The sequence below is a fragment of the Homo sapiens genome, chromosome 5 (genome assembly GCF_000001405.40).
Source record: "Homo sapiens chromosome 5, GRCh38.p14 Primary Assembly".
In the NCBI taxonomy this organism is placed as follows: Eukaryota; Metazoa; Chordata; class Mammalia; order Primates; family Hominidae; genus Homo; species Homo sapiens.
In genome coordinates this window covers 38,461,597-38,484,303 of record NC_000005.10, presented here as the reverse complement: position 1 = coordinate 38,484,303, position 22,707 = coordinate 38,461,597, and the positions used below count along the sequence as shown (strand labels likewise).

At 43.4% G+C, this 22,707-nt stretch overlaps 2 protein-coding genes and 1 long non-coding RNA gene across 17 annotated transcripts in view, besides 3 other annotated features; 2 read left to right on the top strand and 1 right to left on the bottom strand.

Annotated features, from left to right (window-relative positions):
• Positions 1-9,636, top strand: part of LIFR (LIF receptor subunit alpha) — a 133,736-nt gene extending 124,100 nt beyond the window's left edge. For all 7 annotated transcript variants that reach the window (XM_017009463.2, NM_002310.6, XM_047417172.1 and 4 more), the window contains 2 exons: positions 1,637-1,715; positions 2,086-9,636. In XM_017009463.2, the coding sequence (XP_016864952.1) occupies positions 1,637-1,715; positions 2,086-2,709 (703 nt within the window). In that variant the 3' untranslated portion in view covers positions 2,710-9,636. The remainder of the gene's footprint in view (positions 1-1,636; positions 1,716-2,085) is intronic.
• Positions 14,600-15,471: an enhancer, noted in NCBI's record as "H3K4me1 hESC enhancer chr5:38468935-38469806 (GRCh37/hg19 assembly coordinates)". NCBI's record gives its function as "activates a minimal SCP1, AML or CMV promoter by ChIP-STARR-seq in naive H9 embryonic stem cells {active_cell/tissue: H9 hESC(naive)}" and the evidence as "EXISTENCE:reporter gene assay evidence [ECO:0000049][PMID:30033119]".
• EGFLAM-AS5 (EGFLAM antisense RNA 5) overlaps positions 15,938-22,707 on the top strand; it is a 33,866-nt gene continuing 27,096 nt past the window's right edge. For 2 of the 6 annotated variants that reach the window (NR_199676.1, NR_199672.1), the window contains exon 1: positions 15,938-16,065. This is a non-coding gene — a long non-coding RNA (EGFLAM antisense RNA 5). Of the gene's footprint in view, positions 16,066-17,820; positions 18,139-21,034; positions 21,192-22,707 lie in introns of those variants that run through there. The other 4 variants (NR_199675.1, NR_199674.1, NR_199018.1 and 1 more) reach the window with 4 other exon arrangements.
• Positions 16,839-18,038: an enhancer, noted in NCBI's record as "BRD4-independent group 4 enhancer chr5:38466368-38467567 (GRCh37/hg19 assembly coordinates)". NCBI's record gives its function as "activates an origin of replication core promoter dependent on BRD2, P300/CBP, MED14 and CDK7 cofactors, and independent of BRD4, by STARR-seq in HCT116 cells {active_cell/tissue: HCT116}" and the evidence as "EXISTENCE:reporter gene assay evidence [ECO:0000049][PMID:35650434]".
• The window catches only part of EGFLAM (EGF like, fibronectin type III and laminin G domains), a 206,922-nt gene continuing 203,038 nt past the window's right edge, over positions 18,824-22,707 (bottom strand). For all 4 annotated transcript variants that reach the window (NM_001205301.2, NM_152403.4, NM_182798.3 and 1 more), the window contains 2 exons: positions 21,293-21,396; positions 18,824-20,472 (listed from right to left, as the gene is read on the bottom strand). In NM_001205301.2, the coding sequence (NP_001192230.1) occupies positions 20,318-20,472; positions 21,293-21,396 (259 nt within the window). In that variant the 3' untranslated portion in view covers positions 18,824-20,317. The remainder of the gene's footprint in view (positions 20,473-21,292; positions 21,397-22,707) is intronic.
• Positions 20,014-21,213: an enhancer, noted in NCBI's record as "BRD4-independent group 4 enhancer chr5:38463193-38464392 (GRCh37/hg19 assembly coordinates)". NCBI's record gives its function as "activates an origin of replication core promoter dependent on BRD2, P300/CBP, MED14 and CDK7 cofactors, and independent of BRD4, by STARR-seq in HCT116 cells {active_cell/tissue: HCT116}" and the evidence as "EXISTENCE:reporter gene assay evidence [ECO:0000049][PMID:35650434]".

Below are 22,707 nucleotides of genomic sequence, written 5' to 3'. Positions count from 1 at the left end.
ACAGTGTGGGAAGAGGGACAGTAAACCATAGGCATCCAGCAAGTGTGTGCTTGCAGAGTGTGAGTGGGTGCTAGGAAGACTGAACCAGGTACCCTGAGGAGACCAGCAGGGGGCTACGTCCTGCGAGCTGGTCGGCCATGGCCCGTCACGGCTGGTCTGCGGTACAGTTCCAAAGGGTAAGGAGAGGGAAAAGAATGTTACAGACAGATAATTATTTCTTTGAGGGCCCTGAAATTGGAAAGAGTCAAACCTTCAGAGAAAGTGGGAGGAGCTGTGTGCCTGGTGAAACAGGAATGAGTGACATGAGGTGAGGTCAGCGGGAGCTCCGTGGGAGAGAGGGCCATGTGCATGGTCACCTGGCAAGAGCTGTCCTGGCTGGGTATGGAGCCAGTGGCTGCATTCATGCTTAGACCAGTCCTCACCGACCTTAAAAATGCCATCATTTATGACAAGAGAACATATTTTAGCAATCCTGGCTTATAAATCAAAATAGTAATAGTTGTAGAACTATAGAATAGTCTATTTTGGTAACCATATTCTCATTACCAAAATTCACATTTTTAAAACAACTATTAGGCCGGGTGCAGTGGCTCACGCCTGTAATCCCAACACTCTGGGAGGCCAAGGCAGGCAGATCACAAGGTCAGGAGATCGAGACCATCCTGGCCAACATGGTGAAACCCTGTCTCTACTAAAAATACAAAAAATTAGCTGAGCATAGTGGCACGTGCCTGTAATCCCAGCTACTTAGGAGGCTAGGAGGCTGAGGCAGGAGAATCACTTGAACCAGGGAGTTGGAGGTTGCAGTGAGTCAAGATTGCACCACTGCACCCCACCCTAGCAACAGTGCAAGACTCTGTCTCAAAAAAACCAAAAAAACAAAAAAAACCCAACTATTAAAGTACCAAAAAAAGAAAAAAAAGACAAAATAAGAAGGGAGTTTAGAAGTTACAGCGTTTCAAACTCACATTAACAAAGTTATTTTTTCTGTAGGAATTTCAAGTAATACAGTTCTTTTTAGTAGCTATAAATATAAAAATATGATAGGACACTGAGCAAATCTCATTTTTGGTTGCGTTTAGTTTTCGGTCAAGATTAATAGCCTTTTTCTTAGCACAGCCTGCAGTGTACTCGTGACACGTGGCTATCACTTTTATGACCACCTCGGTAAAGGCAAATCTCATTTTTGGCTGCATTTAGTTTTTGGTCAAGATTAATAGCCTTTTTCTTAGCACAGCCTGCAGTGTACTCATGACATGTAGTTATCACCTTTATGACCACCTTTTTAACCACCTCAGTAAAGCAGTGCCATGGGATCACAGCTGTTCTTACATAGTCCAGATCCTTTGGACTAGATGGCACAGCCACAATTTTAATTACTTGCTTTCCATTTTCATGAGATACATGGGTATTATAGTTCCAGAAATGGAATTCTGTTTATGGTTTTCAAGTTGGAACCTCTCAGTGCATTGTATAGACAGCTGTAGTGAATGATCACACTAAAGATCTTCCATTTTAATCTCAGATGTGCATTAAAGGATTCATAAATACTTCAAAATAAGCCTAATGATTTATTAATTTATTATCTAATAATCTTAAAACTATTAAATTTACTGTAATAATTTTTTATTTAAAGGATTAAAGAAACCTTCTACCCTGATATTCCAAATCCAGAAAACTGTAAAGCATTACAGTTTCAAAAGAGTGTCTGTGAGGTAATCTTTTATTTTCTTATATTTATCTTTGATGTGCTGGCTTCTTTTTTTAATCTTTTGTGAAAAGTTTTTAACATGCAAATGTCATTTTAATTAAAAAGTATTGGGAAAATTATATACTTTAAAACATCTCAGTTTCTAAAATTATTAATTTTAAATTATACAGTGCTCTTTTTTCTCCCACAAGTATTAATAACAAGGAAAATACTGATACGGAAGAAAAAAGTGGCTGTGCTGTTGTGTGAAATACAGAGTAGTAGAGACACCTGTTTACAAGCAGATTGGGGAAAAATGTGTCCCTTTTTATAGGAGGAGCATTGCAATGGCATTTAGTGCTATTTTTAATCACTGTGTTTAAATTTATTTCTAGGGAAGCAGTGCTCTTAAAACATTGGAAATGAATCCTTGTACCCCAAATAATGTTGAGGTTCTGGAAACTCGATCAGCATTTCCTAAAATAGAAGATACAGAAATAATTTCCCCAGTAGCTGAGCGTCCTGAAGATCGCTCTGATGCAGAGCCTGAAAACCATGTGGTTGTGTCCTATTGTCCACCCATCATTGAGGAAGAAATACCAAACCCAGCCGCAGATGAAGCTGGAGGGACTGCACAGGTTATTTACATTGATGTTCAGTCGATGTATCAGCCTCAAGCAAAACCAGAAGAAGAACAAGAAAATGACCCTGTAGGAGGGGCAGGCTATAAGCCACAGATGCACCTCCCCATTAATTCTACTGTGGAAGATATAGCTGCAGAAGAGGACTTAGATAAAACTGCGGGTTACAGACCTCAGGCCAATGTAAATACATGGAATTTAGTGTCTCCAGACTCTCCTAGATCCATAGACAGCAACAGTGAGATTGTCTCATTTGGAAGTCCATGCTCCATTAATTCCCGACAATTTTTGATTCCTCCTAAAGATGAAGACTCTCCTAAATCTAATGGAGGAGGGTGGTCCTTTACAAACTTTTTTCAGAACAAACCAAACGATTAACAGTGTCACCGTGTCACTTCAGTCAGCCATCTCAATAAGCTCTTACTGCTAGTGTTGCTACATCAGCACTGGGCATTCTTGGAGGGATCCTGTGAAGTATTGTTAGGAGGTGAACTTCACTACATGTTAAGTTACACTGAAAGTGTTCATGTGCTTTTAATGTAGTCTAAAAGCCAAAGTATAGTGACTCAGAATCCTCAATCCACAAAACTCAAGATTGGGAGCTCTTTGTGATCAAGCCAAAGAATTCTCATGTACTCTACCTTCAAGAAGCATTTCAAGGCTAATACCTACTTGTACGTACATGTAAAACAAATCCCGCCGCAACTGTTTTCTGTTCTGTTGTTTGTGGTTTTCTCATGTGTATACTTGGTGGAATTGTAAGTGGATTTGCAGGCCAGGGAGAAAATGTCCAAGTAACAGGTGAAGTTTATTTGCCTGACGTTTACTCCTTTCTAGATGAAAACCAAGCACAGATTTTAAAACTTCTAAGATTATTCTCCTCTATCCACAGCATTCACAAAAATTAATATAATTTTTAATGTAGTGACAGCGATTTAGTGTTTTGTTTGATAAAGTATGCTTATTTCTGTGCCTACTGTATAATGGTTATCAAACAGTTGTCTCAGGGGTACAAACTTTGAAAACAAGTGTGACACTGACCAGCCCAAATCATAATCATGTTTTCTTGCTGTGATAGGTTTTGCAAGCCTTTTCATTATTTTTTAGCTTTTATGCTTGCTTCCATTATTTCAGTTGGTTGCCCTAATATTTAAAATTTACACTTCTAAGACTAGAGACCCACATTTTTTAAAAATCATTTTATTTTGTGATACAGTGACAGCTTTATATGAGCAAATTCAATATTATTCATAAGCATGTAATTCCAGTGACTTACTATGTGAGATGACTACTAAGCAATATCTAGCAGCGTTAGCTGTCCATATAGTTCTGATTGGATTTCGTTCCTCCTGAGGAGACCATGCCGTTGAGCTTGGCTACCCAGGCAGTGGTGATCTTTGACACCTTCTGGTGGATGTTCCTCCCACTCATGAGTCTTTTCATCATGCCACATTATCTGATCCAGTCCTCACATTTTTAAATATAAAACTAAAGAGAGAATGCTTCTTACAGGAACAGTTACCCAAGGGCTGTTTCTTAGTAACTGTCATAAACTGATCTGAATCCATGGGCATACCTGTGTTGCAGGTGCAGCAATTGCTTGGTGAGCTGTGCAGAATTGATTGCCTTCAGCACAGCATCCTCTGCCCACCCTTGTTTCTCATAAGCGATGTCTGGAGTGATTGTGGTTCTTGGAAAAGCAGAAGGAAAAACTAAAAAGTGTATCTTGTATTTTCCCTGCCCTCAGGTTGCCTATGTATTTTACCTTTTCATATTTAAGGCAAAAGTACTTGAAAATTTTAAGTGTCCGAATAAGATATGTCTTTTTTGTTTGTTTTTTTTGGTTGTTTGTTTGTTTTTTATCATCTGAGATTCTGTAATGTATTTGCAAATAATGGATCAATTAATTTTTTTTGAAGCTCATATTGTATCTTTTTAAAAACCATGTTGTGGAAAAAAGCCAGAGTGACAAGTGACAAAATCTATTTAGGTTCTCTGTGTATGAATCCTGATTTTAACTGCTAGGATTCAGCTAAATTTCTGAGCTTTATGATCTGTGGAAATTTGGAATGAAATGCAATTCATTTTGTACATACATAGTATATTAAAACTATATAATAGTTCATAGAAATGTTCAGTAATGAAAAATATATCCAATCAGAGCCATCCCTAAAGAGTGTTCTCTTGTCTTCCTTTGTATCCTCTTTGGCTCCTTCCCTTAGCTTCCACCCCAGACATCAGACCTGGGGCTGCCTTCTCTCCCTGCCAAAGCTTGCTGTTAGCATTGTCTGCTTGCCCTCAACTCCTGCCTTGTTCCCTGTTGAAATGTATCAATCCCGTACTTTATCTCTCCAGGACAAGGATAAGTGTGGCTACAGTAAAAGTTTATTGCTCTAAACGGCGCTAACCTGAGATAATGAGAAAAGGCCAGAAGAGATTGTTTGATCTCTGTCTGTCAATATATATGCATTTCAACTGTGACCATCTGGATCCAGGGCCCTTTCTAACCTATATAACGACTCATTTGTTTGGTTAATGATGAATATCACTGGGGCTCTTAAGTCCTTTCGTTCTATCCAAGACTTCATTGTTTTTTTCTGTATGAAAAAAGTGCAGAATATCACTCACCTTTCCCCTACTTTTGGATCCCCTACACGAGGATCACTAGCTTAATGAGAAGCAGAGTAACGCTATTAAGTCTGGGCAAGCTCCTTATAAGTTGCTGTGTGCTTAAAAGAATGTGATTTATGTCTGGGGCCAAAGCAGTTTTCCTTCTTTTCCCTCATTGAATTCAAGACAGCTAGACCCTTGTGTAGATCCCAGGATATTACCTCTACTCCCCCCAACCTGTGTGTGTAGGGAGAGTAACAACACGGGAAGAGGGGAGGGAAGTTGGAAGGAGATTGGTCACATGTTCAGTTGTCTGAGATACTGGTAAATGTGCGCTGTTTGTCAATGAAGGTTGCATGCCTGCATTTACAAGGTGGTCTCATACTGATTGTGCTCTGTCCAGTTAGATTCGTGGCTTCTCCCTTGGAAGCTACAATTAAGGACTAGTTAGAAGCAGAGGCTAGATGTGTTCTCTCCAGCCCTTACTAACTGGGAAAATAATTGAGAAATCCCTCTTTTCCTCAGTGAAAGCCCAGTCATTGGTTAGAAAAATCTAATTGTCAAACTAGCATTATGTTCCATCATATCTGTGGGATAGTAATTCATGTAAGACACATTTTTACCTCTCTTACAAGTCAATTCACTTACAAGCCAGTTTCAAATCAAGCTTCCCTTGCGAGGAATGGAGATCATTATGGGGCTTATTATGACTACATTTCTTTTATGAGTGACCATTTTAAATAATTAATATTTTATTTAATATTAAATTATTAAAGACTTAGCTAGACTTTTAACATTAGATGAACCTTGTGAATCATATATTGCATAGATTAGCACATGTATGCAATCTAGGTCATCAATTTGTTGAATTTATACAGCCCTAGATTTGAGATTGTGGCCCTGAGTATCTGGATAGTTGAGTTGTGTGTTTATGTGCTTATATGATAGAGGTGCTTTGTTCCTGCAGCTTAGAAACAGAAGCAGCCATTCACTGAGAAGCTTAAGAGAGGAAGTATCAACCTCATTTTCCAAACCAGCATTACTTTCACCGCTCGTGGATCTGAAAGATTACATTTAGAACATTTAGTACTATTACACTCTCAGAAACTGTGGTAAAAAGTCACATTTTCAAAACTTCATGCATATTGTATTCTTGTTGGAAATAAGTCCTATAGTTTCTTAATTGTCTTCATGCCGTCCATATTTAACAAACATTGCAAGTCCTTTTTATATTTGGGTAATTATTTGTAATTTAGTGAAGGAGACTAGGGGATGTTTTCTTCCAAAGGGAATTTAAAATCAATTTTATGGTATTTTGAAAGTAAAATACTCCTTAACGTGTCAATATTTTTAAAATGTTATCTCGAAGTTTTCTATTGCTCAGGTATATAATCTAATAAAATTTTTTGTTTGCTCTAAGGTTATTTTTGCTATTCTCTATTTTGAATTATGTTAAAATTTGTGTGCATTTTATGAAATGCCTTTTTTCTTATTTTGAAAGTGTAAAATTGGGCATCTCAGAGTAAAATGTGGGATTATTAGCTACAAAGACTAGGCACATCGTGAAAGCTCAGTAACTAATTTTCTTGACTGAGTCCTATCCCAGAGTGTCACAGATTCAACAGAATTTTCCTGAAGGGTGATACACACCAAAATCTAGCTTGTGTGGATCTGAGACTATTGACTCAAAGATTCAAATCTACTTCGGAAGTGACTCCACGGTTTGAGTGAAAACTGAGGAAGGACTCATGCCTGTATATCACTAGATATCTTATTTCTCCATAATTTTAAGTGTTCATAATTTCTTCTTCTTTGATGGGTGTGCAACTGGGGCATGTTTGTACCAGCCAGCATGTGTTCTGCCCAACAGTGTGTCCGTGTGTGAGGTTAACTGATTCAGAACTCATTCTCTTGATAAACTATTTCTTGAAAGCATTTATTTTAAGTCTTTATTTCCTGCTGAAATGAAGTTTCATGCTGTCATGCCCATCTTATTTATTCTAGAAGAAAATTTTCATAGAAGAAAATGATTTATGGCCAAAGTTACAGAACATTCATCTTTTAGACTTAGCCTTAGAATATCATTGGAAATTACTTGGCTTGAATTTGGTTCGTTTTTATCTTTATGGATTATGTACCAGGGCTATTAATAATACTTAAACCCCTTATTTTGCTATGGTGGTTAGATTTTTTTATTCCTTTTCAATTAGTGCTATTAATTATTACATGGTCGTATTCATGCTTATTACAGATGAACTATTTTTAGTGCCAGTGTAAAGGATTAAGAATAACATTCAATTAGTTGGCTATTTCAGGCTTTATTGTACATGGTAATGTTTCAGGGAGTGTGATTTGGTCTAGAATATATCCAGATCCTTGTAATTATGATATTGGGTTATGACAGGATTCTATTATTTTTAGCTATGAATGGTGCTTATTTTTCCCTATATTAGGAATGTTAATATTTGGATTATCAGAGTCCATGTTATAAACAGAATTTACCTATGCAAGACAAATTCTAACTGTGCAACATTTTCATGAGAATTAAAAGTTGTGTGTTAAGGGGAAAACCCTCTGAATGTTTTTATGTGTAAGTGCCTAAAGAACCGTAGAAACAGTACATCAAAAGCTCTTATAAAAGAAAAACTGATTGAACATTAGCCAGAAACAAAATATGATTTACATTTTTTTTTTTGGTTGCTGGGACTGAATACCCTAAAAACTAAGAGATGTGAGTGGGGAAAATGTCTAATTGATAAGAAAGTTGATTTATATTATATTTACATGCATCTTCTAAGATTGCCTTTACAGTAGCCAATCAGAACTTTAAAAAAAAAAAAGCTAACAACATAGATCCTATGTGTTGCCCTTAAGACTAAAATACTTTGCACACGTGATTGAATGGCTCACTTAAGTTGTTGAATTTCCTTATACATTTAAAGTGTACTTCCGTTAAGAATTATTCCATTTTAAATGGGTAACTTTCAGCTTCCGAACTATTTTCCTAAACATTCCAGTTGTGTATTATAAAAGATCAAAATATCTCTAGGTGGTAGTACAATTTTCATTTATAACGTGGAAAAGTTAACTGTTAGGTTTAACATTAGTATTAGTGTTTTTGCAATTGCTCATAGAAAAGAACACTGAATAATGGTTTTCATACAATTTTTGTAAAACATTCTTCTCCCAGTTTGATTCCAAATGCTTTTCCCCAAATTGTCTAATATATCATAAGCTAGTGTTTCCTTGTATTTAATTTTTCCTTCCAACACAATATTTAGGAAAAATATGAATAACATTGTGAGTAGCGGGAGACAACACGAAAAAGAAACCTTTCATTGTTGTGGAGGGGTAGGTGTTATGTGATTGATGCCCTTCCTGGCGTTTGTTTTATCCTGTTATTTTCTCAAAAAAGAGCACGGCTTTTTCTTAAATACATTTAAATTCAGAATTGCTTGCAAAAGATTGGCCTGGATAGATAGACATCCTAGATTTAAGATAGTACCATCTTAAAAGTATGTTGAAAGGTAAAATAAATCATTTCAAAATACTTAACTTTCCTAATAAGGATGTTAGGTTTTCTTCTCTTTCATTAGCTGGCCATAAGTCAAGGTCCTTATAACACTAGGAAATTACCTTTTTTTACTTTCAAAATTGCATTATAGTGAATTACTGTTTACAAAATACACATACTGTGAACAGATATAAGTTTCTGTCTTTTATAAGGTTTGTAGAATGAATGTTTTTTTAAAGTGAGTATTATATGTTAAATATTTTAAGTTTTTTATAAATACTAGTAACTGTTTACTAATTTTTGTTTGGTCAAATGCTTGTAAATGTAGCTGAAAGAAGATAGGGAGAAACTGCGGATCCCAAACTGTTCCCTTTTTCATTTCTTGAAATGTTACCACTACAGACATTTTTTTAAGGTGAATAAACAGTTGTGATGTGCTGTACCTAAAATCATGTTTAATCGTATAAGGAAACATTTCAATACACTTATACAGGAAGAAAACTATAGATGAAGTACATGTGTGTGATTCAGTCTGATTCACAGAATTCTGAGAGTAATATGGAATAAAACAACTCCACTTAGATGATAACTGAAGCATTTCCTGCCTTGTGAAAATTTGGATTTTAAATTGCTGTTAGAATGGGAAATTTGGACACTTTATATCATTGTATAATTTCAGAATTTAGTTTCTGTATCTTTTGGAAAACATGATTATAGCAAAAACATAGAAAATAATCTATTACTAAAACACCATAAATGTAAAACTAGTATGCTTGGCTGTTAACTCTAAAGATGTTACTTATGTCTGTTTTTAAAACATGCATGTATTTAACAATTTTATCATAGTATTGTCATGGAAAAAATAAATATATTTTCTTACATCTTACACTGACAGACTTGGGCATTATTGGGTTTTTCCCCATGTTACACACTTAGGAGAAGTGGCTCTGCTTTGTTGTTGTATTTTTTTGTTCTATCCCGTAAGAAATACAGTGGTTGTAAAGCAATCACATAGCGCTATGGATGTATTTTTAACATTTGAGTACATTGCTGTGCCATTGGTGTAACATCCATCTGTCCATTAAGTCATTATTGTTTACCTGAGAAGTTAGCATCAAAATAATCAAATAGTGGGAATCCAACATTAGCAAATAAATAATAAATACTGGTCTTTAAAGTAATGGTTTTTAGTTTATGTCCTCTGAAAATAGCTTAAAATTCCTGAAGATTCTGAGAATGTATCAAAATTTTATTTCACCCTATTAGGAAATACAGTCACAGATTTAGCAAAACCAGTAATTTTAAAGTATAAAGTGATCTTAAATAGATGTTCTTAAATGGAGAAATTAAGTCCTTAGTCATATGTATAGCCTAGACTTAGCCAGATTGAAACATGAATGGGCCTGGATTTAACCAGAAGAAACTGCAGACCAACTCAATTGTAAAAAGCATGTTAGTATTTAAGTGCTAGGAAGTTCATACATATAGCCTGTTCTTTGGGGATTCTCAATGCATAACTTGTTTCCCAGATGGTGAGTTCTTGAGTCAAGATGTATAGCACCCTCAACCCCGGGAACTTTTAAAAAGAATCAGAGAAGAATGATGAGATTATTGGGAGAAAAAATAGACATGTATGAAAAAAATGTTTAAAGGTATTCAATGTCAACTAAAATGTTAGCTTACAAATAAGTTCTTCACAAAAGAACTATAATAATAGCTTGTTATTAGTGGCTTATAAATTTGATCTTACTAGCTTTCTCCTGGAGTGATCAACAATAAAACTGAATTGAAAATATTCGTTGTGCTGGTCCCAGGGAAGATGAAATAACAAGAGATGCCTTGAACTGATTTGTGCTTAAATTGGAGATGATTTTATCCCTGGGTGATTAGTTTCAGATTAGAGACAAGAAAAGCTTTTGAGGATGACCTTGAGAAAGACTGTTAAGTGATGGCCAGGTGCAGTGGCTCACGCCTGTAATCCTAGCACTTTTGGAGGCCAAGGCGGGTGGATCACGAGGTCAGGAGTTCGAGACCAGCTTGGCCAACGTGGTGAAACCCCATCTCTAAAAATACAAAAACTTAGCCGGACGTGCTGGTGCGTGCATGTAATCCCAGCTACTCGGGAGGCTGAGGCAGGAGAATCGCTTGAATCTGGGAGGTACAGGTTGCAGTGAGCCGAGATCACACCACTGCACTCCAGTCTGGGCAACAAGAGCAGAACTCCATCTCCAAAAAAAAATAAAAATAAAAATAAAAAAATAAAAAACCTTTTAAGTGGAAACAGCATTAAAATGAATGCAATCCCAGTGTATGAACCTCTGTCTCCAAACCTTCCAAAGTTATGAAAGAATGTCAAGCCTCAGCTCAAACAAATCTTTATTCCCCTTCCTGCCCTCAGCCTGCCGTAACTCTGCTCGAGGCTGAGCCTCTTCCAGCTCTAGAGGCACTTGCATACTCCCCTCACCTACACCATCCTTGGAGTTGATGCGAGCCAGGGACTGAAAGCCTTGAGGAAGCAGAGTGTTGAGAACAGATGGACCCTCCTAGTCCTAAATTGCCCAATTACCAGTGCAGGCAACATGACACCTTCAGAATGGAACCTAGACTCTAATTTCCTCAATTACCATTGTCGCTCCTTTCCTTTCCTGTGTTGGCTGAGGCTGGGTTCACACCTTTTCCGAGTCAGCCGCTGCCTTGCGGGAGGCTTCACAGGCCTGGCTCCCATCCCAGCTTCACAACTCACTATCAGGATAAGCTTTGGAGAGTTATTCAGCCTCTCCCCGTTTCCTCGTCTCTGAAACGTGGCTCTTCATGCCCACCTTTGCAGGACTGGGGAGGATTAGACAGAGTACATCATGTTCCCAGCAGTGGATGTTTGTTACCCATGCCTCTTCAGAAACTACAGGAACACCTAAGGCCTTAAAGGTATAAATGCCTCCGCACTTGTTTAGCTGCTCCTTAGGTCATCTCTCCCATTTACACAGAGAGAAGCTGCACAGCACAGGACCTGCAGGGGAGCCATGGCATCTGTCCCCACAAAGTGAACACAAGGGCTTCACTTAGATGACTTCTTCCATCTGCAGGGCCCAGTTTAGGCCTTGCTGGCTCAGAGAAGCCTTTTCCAGCATCGCCAGGCCCTCAGTCCTGTGCCTTCCCAGGCCTGTGTGTCCCCACGGCACCAAGCACGATCCTAACGCTTGATTTGGGAATGGGAATTGAACAATGTCTCGGGCTCTTACATCCATGAAGCTTAGTGCAGGATCTGCCACATCTCAGGTGCTTGATTAATATTCTTTAAATGCGCCTTGAGAAAAACGTGGTTTAATGTGTTTCCCTGGTTATTAGAAATATGTTATTTTACAGAGGGTGATCCCTTGCGGGATAGTCTCAGACTGTGCAAGACAAGGGAACCCTGGTTAAGGACAAGGATGGGAGGCTCCCTGTAGTAGCTCAAAGCAGCTCCTTCCCCAGATTTGGGCCATCTTGCCTTGTAGTAAGTAGATGCTTAAGATGTGTTGAATGCAATTACCTTATTCTCCCTAGACAGAAATTTACTCTTACCTTCTTACCTCTTTGACAACAGCAGATGGGAGATAAATGGCCTTTATCCGAAGTGACAACAGGTTAGAGTCCTTCTACACATTGTCTGTCACCTCCACCCTCTGCCATCTCCTCCCCAATTTGAACCTTGTTTTCATTTTCTGTGGGTTAGGTTCTCCATATCCTTCCAACTTGTATGGACAACTTGCATGACCAAGTGATCCATTCTGGCCCCCGTCCCTCTTCCCCAAACTGCATATCTGCTTCTCTGGAAGATAGTCTTGGCTTTGATATTTCAGGCATCTAGTTTGTGGGCAGGTAAGCCCTGGCATGTTCCTCAGGCCACACCACTGTAGTCTCCTATTCCACCCGGAAATAACACGTATCTCCTTACACACAAAACTTTCTTCCCTCAAGCAAGACCTCCTCAAGCAGCTGGGCCCATGGTCCAGGCTCCTCCAAGCTTATGGCCTTGCCATCAGGGGAGTCCTCACAGTGATCTGGCGAGCACTCTGGCCTGGCTTGTCATGTGCTCATTCCTGGTTCAGTCCTGTGGCTGGACATAGGTTCTATTCAAAGGACATTTTCACAAGAGTTGGAGAAAGATGAGTCCCTCCAAAAGAGGTGATATCCTGAGTAGACAGAACAAAAAATACTCACTGAAGAAAAACTAGAAAATCAATGGAAAAGAAAAAGAAATCACACAATCTTTTTTTTTTTTTTCCAAGACAGAGTCTCGCTGTGTCACCCAGGCTGGGGTGCAGTGGTGTGATCTCGGCTCACTGCAACCTCCGCCTCCCGGAGTTCAAGCGATTCTCCTGCCTTGGCCTCCCCAGTAGCTGGGACTACAGACTGATGCCACCAAACCCGGCTAATTTTTTGTATTTTTAGTAGAGACGGGGTGTCACCATGTTGGCCAGGCTGGTCTCGAACTCCTGACCTCGTGATCTGCCTGCCTCAGCGTCCCAAAGTGCTGGAATTACAGGGGTGAGCCACCATGCTGGGCCCACGCAATCTTTTTATGCAGCATTAGGTCTTTTCAACATTTTACTTTTTATCCTTTCGGAAATATTTTCCTATGTGAATATGTGTGTGTATATATGTACATGTCTATTCATATATATGTATATGTGTGCATATATAAAAGAATTGTAGATTCTGTTTTGGAACTTGAATTTTTATTTCACATATTTTGAAAATCTTTTCATATATGGTACTCTTTCATGGATATATGAAATCCCAATGTATGGATGAACTATTCTGTATTCTGGACATTTTTCTATATTCATACTTTTCATTAAATAATGGATAACTTTGAAAGTCAAGCAAAAGTGTTTGGCATTAGTTTGACATCTGAATTTCATACTAAAAGCCATTGGCACCTTATACACAAAAACACCCAAACCAACTTTTCTGTGTCATAAAATACTGTCTTTTATAAGTAACTGGCTACCAAAGATGCTGATGCAGAGTTCCATGGATTCCCTGCTATTTCCTCTAAGTTGTGGGCTGCTTGGGGTCATGCTGAGTGGCCACTGGAAAGGGCAGCTGCCTGACAATTTCCTCAATCCCCCTGGGCACCCACACCATCAACTGTACCCCAGCCTAGGTCCTTAGTCATGGCAAAGGGTCCCTGGACCCCAGGAACACAGGATTTTCAGGAACTATAAATAGGAATTTTTAAGTACGGTTATGCTCTCTGAGAACAGAACTCCCCTTATCTTATGAGTGTTTGACTCATTGTTTAGGGACACAGCTGACCGTGGCATAGCCTTTAGTTGGGATGGCACAGGACAGAGGGTGCATTTTAGGAAAATGAACTTGGTTTTTGGGGAGGTATCATCTGGAGGTGGGAGAGACTGAAAGTTAGAGTTGATCAGGGTTGTGGTAGGCAGGACTCTACGAAGGCCCCCGAGATGCTTGCATGGAACTGTGGAAATGGTGTGTTGTCACTCCCATAATTAGGCTACTTATCAGTTGACTTGGAGTTAATAGGCGATGATCCTGGGTGGGCGACCTATTGAGGAGACCTCTTATGAGAGGGACTGGGCCCTGCCTAAAGAAAGTCTCCCCTGGCTTTGAAGAAACAAAGAGCAAGTGAGCCTCAGGTGAGACCACAGCCCAGGCGACACCTTGACAGGGGGAGCTGAGTCCTCTCTATCCTTTATATCCTCACTGGCACTTTGGCCAGGGGCTGGTTTGTGAATAGCTCGTCCTCAGTGAGTGTCAATGAAATGTCAACCGACCTTGTGTGGGCGAGTGCCTGGAGGGGGCAACTACAGTAATCCTTGCGAGGGCCCGCAGGCCATCCGCTCCTCACCCTCCATTCCCCACCCCCAAAGCCTCCCAACCCACTCCCAAGGGCTCCCAGCTTCCAGGCCAGAGGCAGTCACATGGATAAGGCCCCCAGCCTTGGGCACATCCTCTTACCTCTCTAGCCCCGTGTGGAGCTGGAACAGAGATCGCCCAGGCTTCTTTCATTTCTGAGGTGGTGTGAATGTGACCTGGACAAGCAATCGGCTTGTGTTCCACTTTCCACTGTATTAGACAGGGCCCCCCATTTCATTCTGAACCCCCACAGTTGCTCTCTGAACCCCACGTTCAGTGAGAACATGGAATGCTACCGGCAGGGCCGGAAGTCACCACGCACTGAGCCTTGCGACCCCTGCGGCCCCATACCCCTCTCCTCCCACAGCTCTCTCTGCCTCATAGTCCATTTTCTCTGCCTCCGCTTTCTTTTGGCCAATTTCCTAACAGGGCTTTCCTTAGCTAAGCCCCTGGCCTGGTGCCTCTTACTTTTGTTATTAAGTGAGTATAAACGGCAAATTTCTTGAGCCTCCCTGGCCTTCCTTCGAAGAGACATTCCAACTCAAGTCCTCTCCTAGCCAAGTCAGAACTGCAGCCCCTTGGCAGCAGGCTGTTCGGGGAGGTCATAGCCCCGGGCTGGGCCCTGGCTTGTAGGTGAGCAGCTGGGACATCGGGGGAGGCCATGCCACATGCTGGGAAATTTCTATGCCTCTGGACACCATTTGCATCTTGAGCAAAACTGAAAGACAAGATGGATAAATAGAAAAGAAGAGACATCCTCCCAGGGGCTGAGACATAATGTTCTCTCTCCCGTCTTTCCAGGAAATGGCAAGTGCTCCTGGGAGCTACGAACTTTCTAGGACAAAGATGCCTCAGCAAGAGCAAGCGGGAAGAAGAGGAGCGGCAGGGGAGGCCTTTCCCAGCTGCCTTCCCTGTTCTTTCAGCTCGTGGCTTGGCTGGGGCGAGGCAGGGGCCCAGGGGAACACGCTGCTGGGCAGAAATAGCTTGCAACCACTCCCCAGGGTTATGGAGGTTATTTGTGGAGATGAAAGCAAAGGAGGGAAGGGAAAAGAATTTAACCTACACCCAGTTGCCCGTAGAGGGGCCTGAATCCCACCCTGCTGGACTAGCTCTTTAGTTTCTGCTTTCAGATTTGCTCAACCCAGAGTCCCTGCAACAGAAGGCCTTTGAAAGAAGGCAGATTCAGGGCTGTGATGAGAAACTGGCATGCGTTGGCAAGCAGACTCTTGGGACATGGCCTTTGTCCGAATCTCCCTCACTTACACGACTATACTGCAGACGACAGCTAACCCAAGGGAGCCTCAGAATGTCCCTCAACAATGCGGGTGTCCCTGGGCAGACTGCACCTGACCAGAGGTCAGGGTGAGGGCAGAAAAGCTCCACGGGACAGCATCGTGGCTGCGTCCTCGTGATGGGACCATGGGCAAGTCACCCAGTCTTTGTGGCCAGTGTCTGTCTTCCTAAGTCAAATAGGCCATGCCCATCTGCTCCAGCCATCATAGGAGGAGGACTGTTATGAAGATCAAATATGTGAACATTCTTTGACTGTGAGGTTGCGGTGCGGTTACTCACAGGGCCTAGCCCAGAAGCCAGCTGATGCTGTTGCATTGGATTAGTCATTTTGCTGGCCCGAACATAGCCACCTGTAAGCTGGAACTTCCTTACGGCAGCCTGTCACTTCCACGGGACCCACCAGCTTAAATGCCGGCAGCCCTGGGACTTCTGGCCTCACAATGGTTGAGGTAGGGCTGCTTACATTTCCCTTCTCTGTTTAGCGTGTGCCGGATAAGTCCCTAGTTCGGATACCGTCGGACGACCCACATCTCCATGTTGACAAATAACGTGGGAGTGGGCTAAAGCTGTACGACCCCTGATTTCAGATTCTAATTTTGATTCCATGCTGGCAGCTCTCTCCCCACTGCAGGGAGAAAGTGCTGGAGAACGTCGTTCCCGCCTTTGATAAGCTAATCTTACCCCCTTCTCAGCTAAGGGTCTGGGCGGTGGTGGGCACGCCCGGACTGACCCCCAGCTCCAAGGGCAACTACTATGCGTTCCTGGACTGGGCAGGAGCTGGAAGAGGCAGGGAGGAGGTGGGAAGCGGCTCATGCCTTGTCCAGGCTCCTCTCCTAAAGTATTGTCTTTCCGCTTGGAGCTGGAATTCTCTGCCTTTATTTTCTCGGAGCTGGGCCTCTGCAGGCTGCCCCTCGGTCATTCCCTCCCAGGAAGAACGGCCTTCTGGGGTGGGGGTTGCTGTCGGAGCTCAGAGAGGCTGGGGGCCCCCCTACTGCCTATTCTTCCTCCTTTGGGAACTCACAGTGCTAAAAACAAGCTTTCTGAGAACCATATTTTTCTGGGTTAAAGGTGAAAAATGCAGCGTTTCCTCCAAGTGGAAAGCCCTGGGCCTGCCAGCTCCAACTCCGGGCGCTTTTCCGAGCTCCTTCCTCCCACGCAGGGAGGGGGTAGCAGCTCCTGCAGGGCCAGGGGAGGAGGTGGGCAGGGAGGAAGGAGAGGGGGCAGCAGCAGGAAAGCGCCAGTGCCCGTGCCAGCAGGGCAGTCTGTGTGTGGACACCAGCCGGCCTGTTTGTGTTGGAGGGCCGGGAGAAGGGAGCAGGACTGGGTCAGGAAATGAAAGACAAATACCAGGGTGGGAGAGTGGCACGGCCTTCAGAGCGGCGGGCAGGCCGGGGCAGCTGCCTGGGCAGCCGCAGAAGGGGGACACAGAAGACCCCCACAGACCTTCCTGAGAGAAATCCTGAGGTGGGGCCTCCAGGAACATGCAGGGTTATGGGAGGCCATCTTAATAGGAAAAGCAAGGACATCCTCACCCCACACCCGGTCACCCTTGCTTCGAACATGTGGGAGGTTCCGGGGAATTTCCTCAGACCCTGATTGTGGGAGAAAAGCTTTTCAGGATCCCGTGCCCCACTCCATCCTTCCTCCCTAGGACAGGGACTGCTGTTAGCCTCTGAGCTCCCTGGCGACACCCCAAACCTTTCTCTTCAGCCAAGAGCCTGGCCAGCCTTCAACATGCTCTCCCCACAGCGGCTACCCAAAAGCCAGGCACAGATCCCATCTTCCAGCCGGTCCAGTCCCTCCTCCTCAGAACAGCAACGGGGCCAGCTGCCAAGTGTCAGGGAGCATGTGGAAGGAGGGCAAGGGGAAGAGAGGGCACCGCATTGCGATGGGGGAGGGCGGGTGCTGCTCGCATCAGGCCTGGCCTGGCTGGGCACTGAGAACATCATGGACCTCGCCTCCAGCCCCAAGGGTTAAAGAAGGTCGGAGAAGACCTATGGCCAGGGGGTCACGGCCTCCCTACTGCACCCTGCTGTGAATGACGTAGGACTTGCTGGGGTAGACCGATTGCATCAGCAGTGACGCTTTTCCACTGCTCCTGAGTCCATGCCCTCCACCGGGCAGCTTGGTAGTTCTCTCATGCTGGAGAAGAGCCCATATGTCACGTGGGGGCCGGCCCGTTTCTTCCTCTCTTGAATCCACAGATGACTGGGGTGTGGCAGTGCCAAGCCGAGGCTGTGAAAGGCCTTCCACCTTTACTCTCGTGCTCGTGCCCTCCCCCATTGTTAGGAGAAGGGCATGCTCAGGCCAGCCCATTAGCCCAGGAGGAGGACAAGAAACACACGGAGCAGACACAAGCCACCTCACCAACCCAGCCAAGGCTGTCCTGAATTAGCAACCCTGACACGTGTGAGCAAGTCCAACGGACACCGGAAGATCCACCTAGTCAAGCCCAACCAAGACTGGCAGAGCTGCCAAGCTGACCACTTAAGGCGCATGAGGAATAAACACTCGTTGCTGCATGCCATTGCAGTTTTGTGATTTTTGTTATGCAGCATTATTGTGGCCATGACAGCAGATACACATAGAGAGACAACAGGACACCCAGGAGCCCACATGGGATACACTGTCTCTTACCCTGTCCTCTGACCCTGAGCCTCCCAGGTCACCAGCTCCTCCTGGGTCCCTCCACTCTGCTGCTCTCTCACCTGTCAGATCCCTACTCCCCTGACCCTGTCATCACGTCACTCTTCTCCCCTTAGCCTCATCTGCTTCCCACCCAGAGGCAAATGGTTCTACTCCCAGGCCTGCATCCCTGGGTCATTGCATTTTTCTCTGGATAACACTTTCGTGGAACAACAACTCATTAGCAACAGCTCTTCTAGCTTCAATTCAGCTGAATGGCCTAAGATCACAATGATATGTATGGCTGGAGGGAATCCATCAAAATGGCCTGTAAAAGCAACTCCATGACATCTTGGGAAGCACTGGCCCCAGCAGTATCAAAGGAAGAGGTGTTGAGGCAAGGGTGTCTGGGAAGTGGAGGACCCACTTTCTACCATGTGGCCTTTCTCCGGACTGCACTCATATAAGATTATGTGTCTAGGAGTGGATGATGATGATGATGATGATGATAACCATGATTCCTCTGGGAGAAAGGATCCTGGCCATCAAAGCTTCCCAAAGACAGGAGATTGGGGCACAAAGTGAACCTCTCTAGTTTATTCATCTTTTAGAATTACATTATGTGCTTAAAACTGTGCCTTGCACAAACCCCAAAAGTCTTTGCTGAATGAATGCTGCACAAACAAATGTAGAGTCGAGACTGGGACTAATTATAGGCTCTTGCATAAGTTAGATCATATTTCACCCCCTCCTTGGGGGCAGTGTTCATCTCACCTTTCCCTTAGTAAGTCCATCATGGGGATCTGCCAGTGAACCAGCTGTCTCTGGGGTCATGTGCTTGCATAGTAAAGGGACACAGCTCATGGTACAGAAGGAAGAAGTCCTGTTTCTCTGGTTCTCACCCAGATGCTCAGACCATCCTGACAGCATGTCCCCCCACCCCTGCACAGCCTTGGGAACACTGATTGTATTAGTGTCCATTGGTATGAACCTGACCTCCGCAAAATCAGTAACAACTCCATAAGTGAATGAATGAATGAATAAGTTCTAGCTTTGTCCCCTTTATTCAAGTTTACTATAGATACTCCCCCCAACTCTTAAAACAAAAATGACAGTGACCTACCTCGGTAACACATGTTCCTTTTAATCTGCTTATCTTGGAAAGCTTCATATTCATCCTCTTGAGCCGTCAACATTTACCAAAAGAGAATGGTCAGCTCCCCAAGTTGCCCACCCAAGTTACCTATCCATTCCACTGACACCACAAAAGGCCCAAACAAGTCTCTCTTGGGAGAAATTTTTAGGAAAGGTGTGCAAGAATTCAGAGTCATCCACCCAAACTTCCAAAAGTATACTGTGTGGACAATCTGCAGCTATAAAAATATACACATACAAAAGTACAGCTACAAAATCATGGGGGCTCAGCTCCTTAACTCTGCATTATAAGAAGTAGGGATTTCACATTCGAGGTAAGCTCTGGGGAAGGGGGCCGCATTATGATTATGATTCTGTGTTTGATCTCCTTCCATCTTTATTTTTATGGACTAGTCAGAACACAGTGAACCAGCCAGTGAGGAGTGGAAGGGGTTAATCCGAACAATCCAAGGGCCAATGTGGGAAATGTGAAGTTCAAGGTCACACAGTCATTCTGCTGTCAGGAAGAGTGTCATGAGTCAGGGAAGGAGAGAAGTATTTTAATAGTGCCCTGTGGGATTCTTTCTCTCTCTCTCTCTTTTTAATGTACTATGAATCACAACACAGTCACTGAGCTATAGCAGACAGGCTCTGGAATTTGCATTGATGTGTGATCTCTGGCAGCCGCTACATATTCAATGGACAAAGTCCGATGCTTCCTACACAGAGAATTCTGCTGGGTCAGCTCGTGGAGTGTCAGCAGGAAAGGCCACCCAGGGATGCCTGTCTTGGTTCTCAGTTTCTCATCAGTGTGTACTTTCTTCTTGGTGAGAGGAAACACACCTGGTCCCTGGGCCTCTGCATATAGCATCAGGCAGGGTCTGAGGGCCCCTGGGATTCTCAGAATAGAAGGCTCTGTCCCTTGGACAAGGCCAGCTGGTGTTACTTGGCTCCACAAGTGTTGATGTTTTTCCCATCCACGGCATCTTCCACGAGGGAAATGTGGTAATCGGTGGACAGGGTGAAGTGAGAGATACAGCCCACGAGCCCTCTCATATATTGCCTGTTAGTGTGCAGAGCAATTTCCTTCATTCCACCTGCCAGGAAGCAAGAGGGAGATGAGGTGAGCCAAAGGACAGGTGTCCGCAGGGCAAGGTCGGGGTTCCAGTTTGGGGCACTTGAATGGCTGCTGGCCAAGGCATCCCTTGATTCATGGGACATGTGAGGGCTGTGGGCCCCTTGAGCTGCTCAGTACCTCACCTCTCTCAATTTTATAATTATCCTTGAAGGAACAGATTGACTTGGATCAGTTTTTACACAATCAAAAGCTATAAATTCATTCCTCATGTGTGATTTCTGGCCCAACTGACCACCTTGAGACCAAATAGTGTCTAGTAAATTTTGAAGTGTGGTATAATGTCAACAGAATGCAGTGTGTAGTTAGAAGTGATGTCATCTTAAACCAAAACAAATGCACTGATGTCGAATGCTTTCAATAGAAAATATCATATAGATAAAAATAGCTTTTCATTTTTATGTGTCTGCACTAGTGAATTAATTATAATAAGCCATTTACAGAAATACTAGTCATTCTATTCTGCAAGGGGAAAGAAAGACAGGTCCCGTTTTGTCAGAGAGAACTCATGGAGCTATATTTAGCAGGTTCCTGTTCTATAAACAAGAAAAGCCTGGTTTTCCTGGTGGATCTGTCCAAAGCATAAAAGCATCGAAGGGAGCCCTTCCTGCCCCCTCAGCCATGAGTCAGCAGTTCAGAAAATGAAGGAATGGAATATCTGGAGGGCTTCCTGATTTACAGGTATTTGATCCAGCAAAGTACATAGCCTCGGCACAGCAAATGGAAGACTAACAAGAAAAGCACTGGCCTAATTTTGCTTTGGTCGAGGGTCGGTCACTTACCCACATACAGAGCTCCATTGATGTTAAGCTGCCGCATCATGCCTGGGGATTTGCCTGTTCTGGCTCCATAGTCATCCACGGTTATCTTTCCTGACTGGCCATCCCTGCAAAACACCAAAACAAAAAAGAACAAAAAGCCTGGCATTTTTGGAGTTCATTCAATCATTCATTCATTTCAATACAAATGTATTAAAGGACACACTATGTGCCAGGTACTGTGCTAAATGATGGGGCTGCAGAAATCAAAGCAAAAAGCAAATGTGTGGCCCTCAGGAGCCTGTGGTCTACTGAGGAAGACAAAAAGTCAAACTGTGAATGACAACACAGTGCCAGCACTCCACGGCGAAGACCACAAGGGTGCTGTGGAATTACACCAGAGGAGCAGCGCCTAACTTAGACTAGAGAGAGGACAGTTATTAGAGAGATGGTCAGAAAAAGCTGCTCAGAGGAGATTCTGTCCAAAATGAGTCTTGTAGGCTGGGTAGGTAAGTCAAGTGAAGGAGAAGGCTATGCAAACAGAGAAAGCAACAACAGCAAAGAGAAAGAGCAGGGGTTAGCACAGATGGAACTCACAGAACACTGGGGCTGGGAAAGGTGAAGCCCCAAGCAAACGGTCAACCGCTTGTAAGGAGTTGAGAATTTATCCTGAAGGTGACAGCGGGCCAGGGAAGAAATTTCAGGTGAAGCCCAGGGGAGGAGAGCTTGTGGCGAGGCATGGGAAGCCATGGGGAGCTGGGATTCTAAGTACAATGAGAAGCCAATGAAGCAGTTTTTGTAGGTATAAGATCATTCGATGGGAAGACTGGCTCAGAAGTTTCTGTTTATTTTATTTTATTTTATTTTTTGAGACGGAGTCCCGCTGTCGCCCAGGCTGGAGTGCAGTGGCGCGATCTCGGCTCACTGCAGGCTCCGCCCCCCGGGGTTCACGCCATTCTCCTGCCTCAGCCTCCCGAGTAGCTGGGACTACAGGCGCCCGCCACCTCGCCCGGCTAATTTTTTGTATTTTTTTTAGTAGAGACGGGGTTTCACCACGTTAGCCAGGATGGTCTCGATCTCCTGACCTAGTGATCCGCCCTCCTCGGCCTCCCAAAGTGCTGGGATTACAGGCGTGAGCCACTGCACCCGGCCAGTGGCTCAGAAGTTTCTAAAGGACCCACAGAGCCCTAAAGTGACTCTGACGACAGGAAGAGGGAGGTGTTCATTGGTGGCAAGGGCTTTGTAGTTTTCAAAGCTATTTTTCAAACCTATCCAGCCCCATGAGCCTTGTTCAAGCAAATACATTTGCTTCTATAGCACTAGGGGGTGGACTCACTCAGGCTTCACTTCTTGATAGCAACTCTTCTAGAGATTTACAGAACTTTCTCTTGTTCTGTCCCCATCTTTGAGACCACAAACTTCCCATTTGGGAAGTGCTT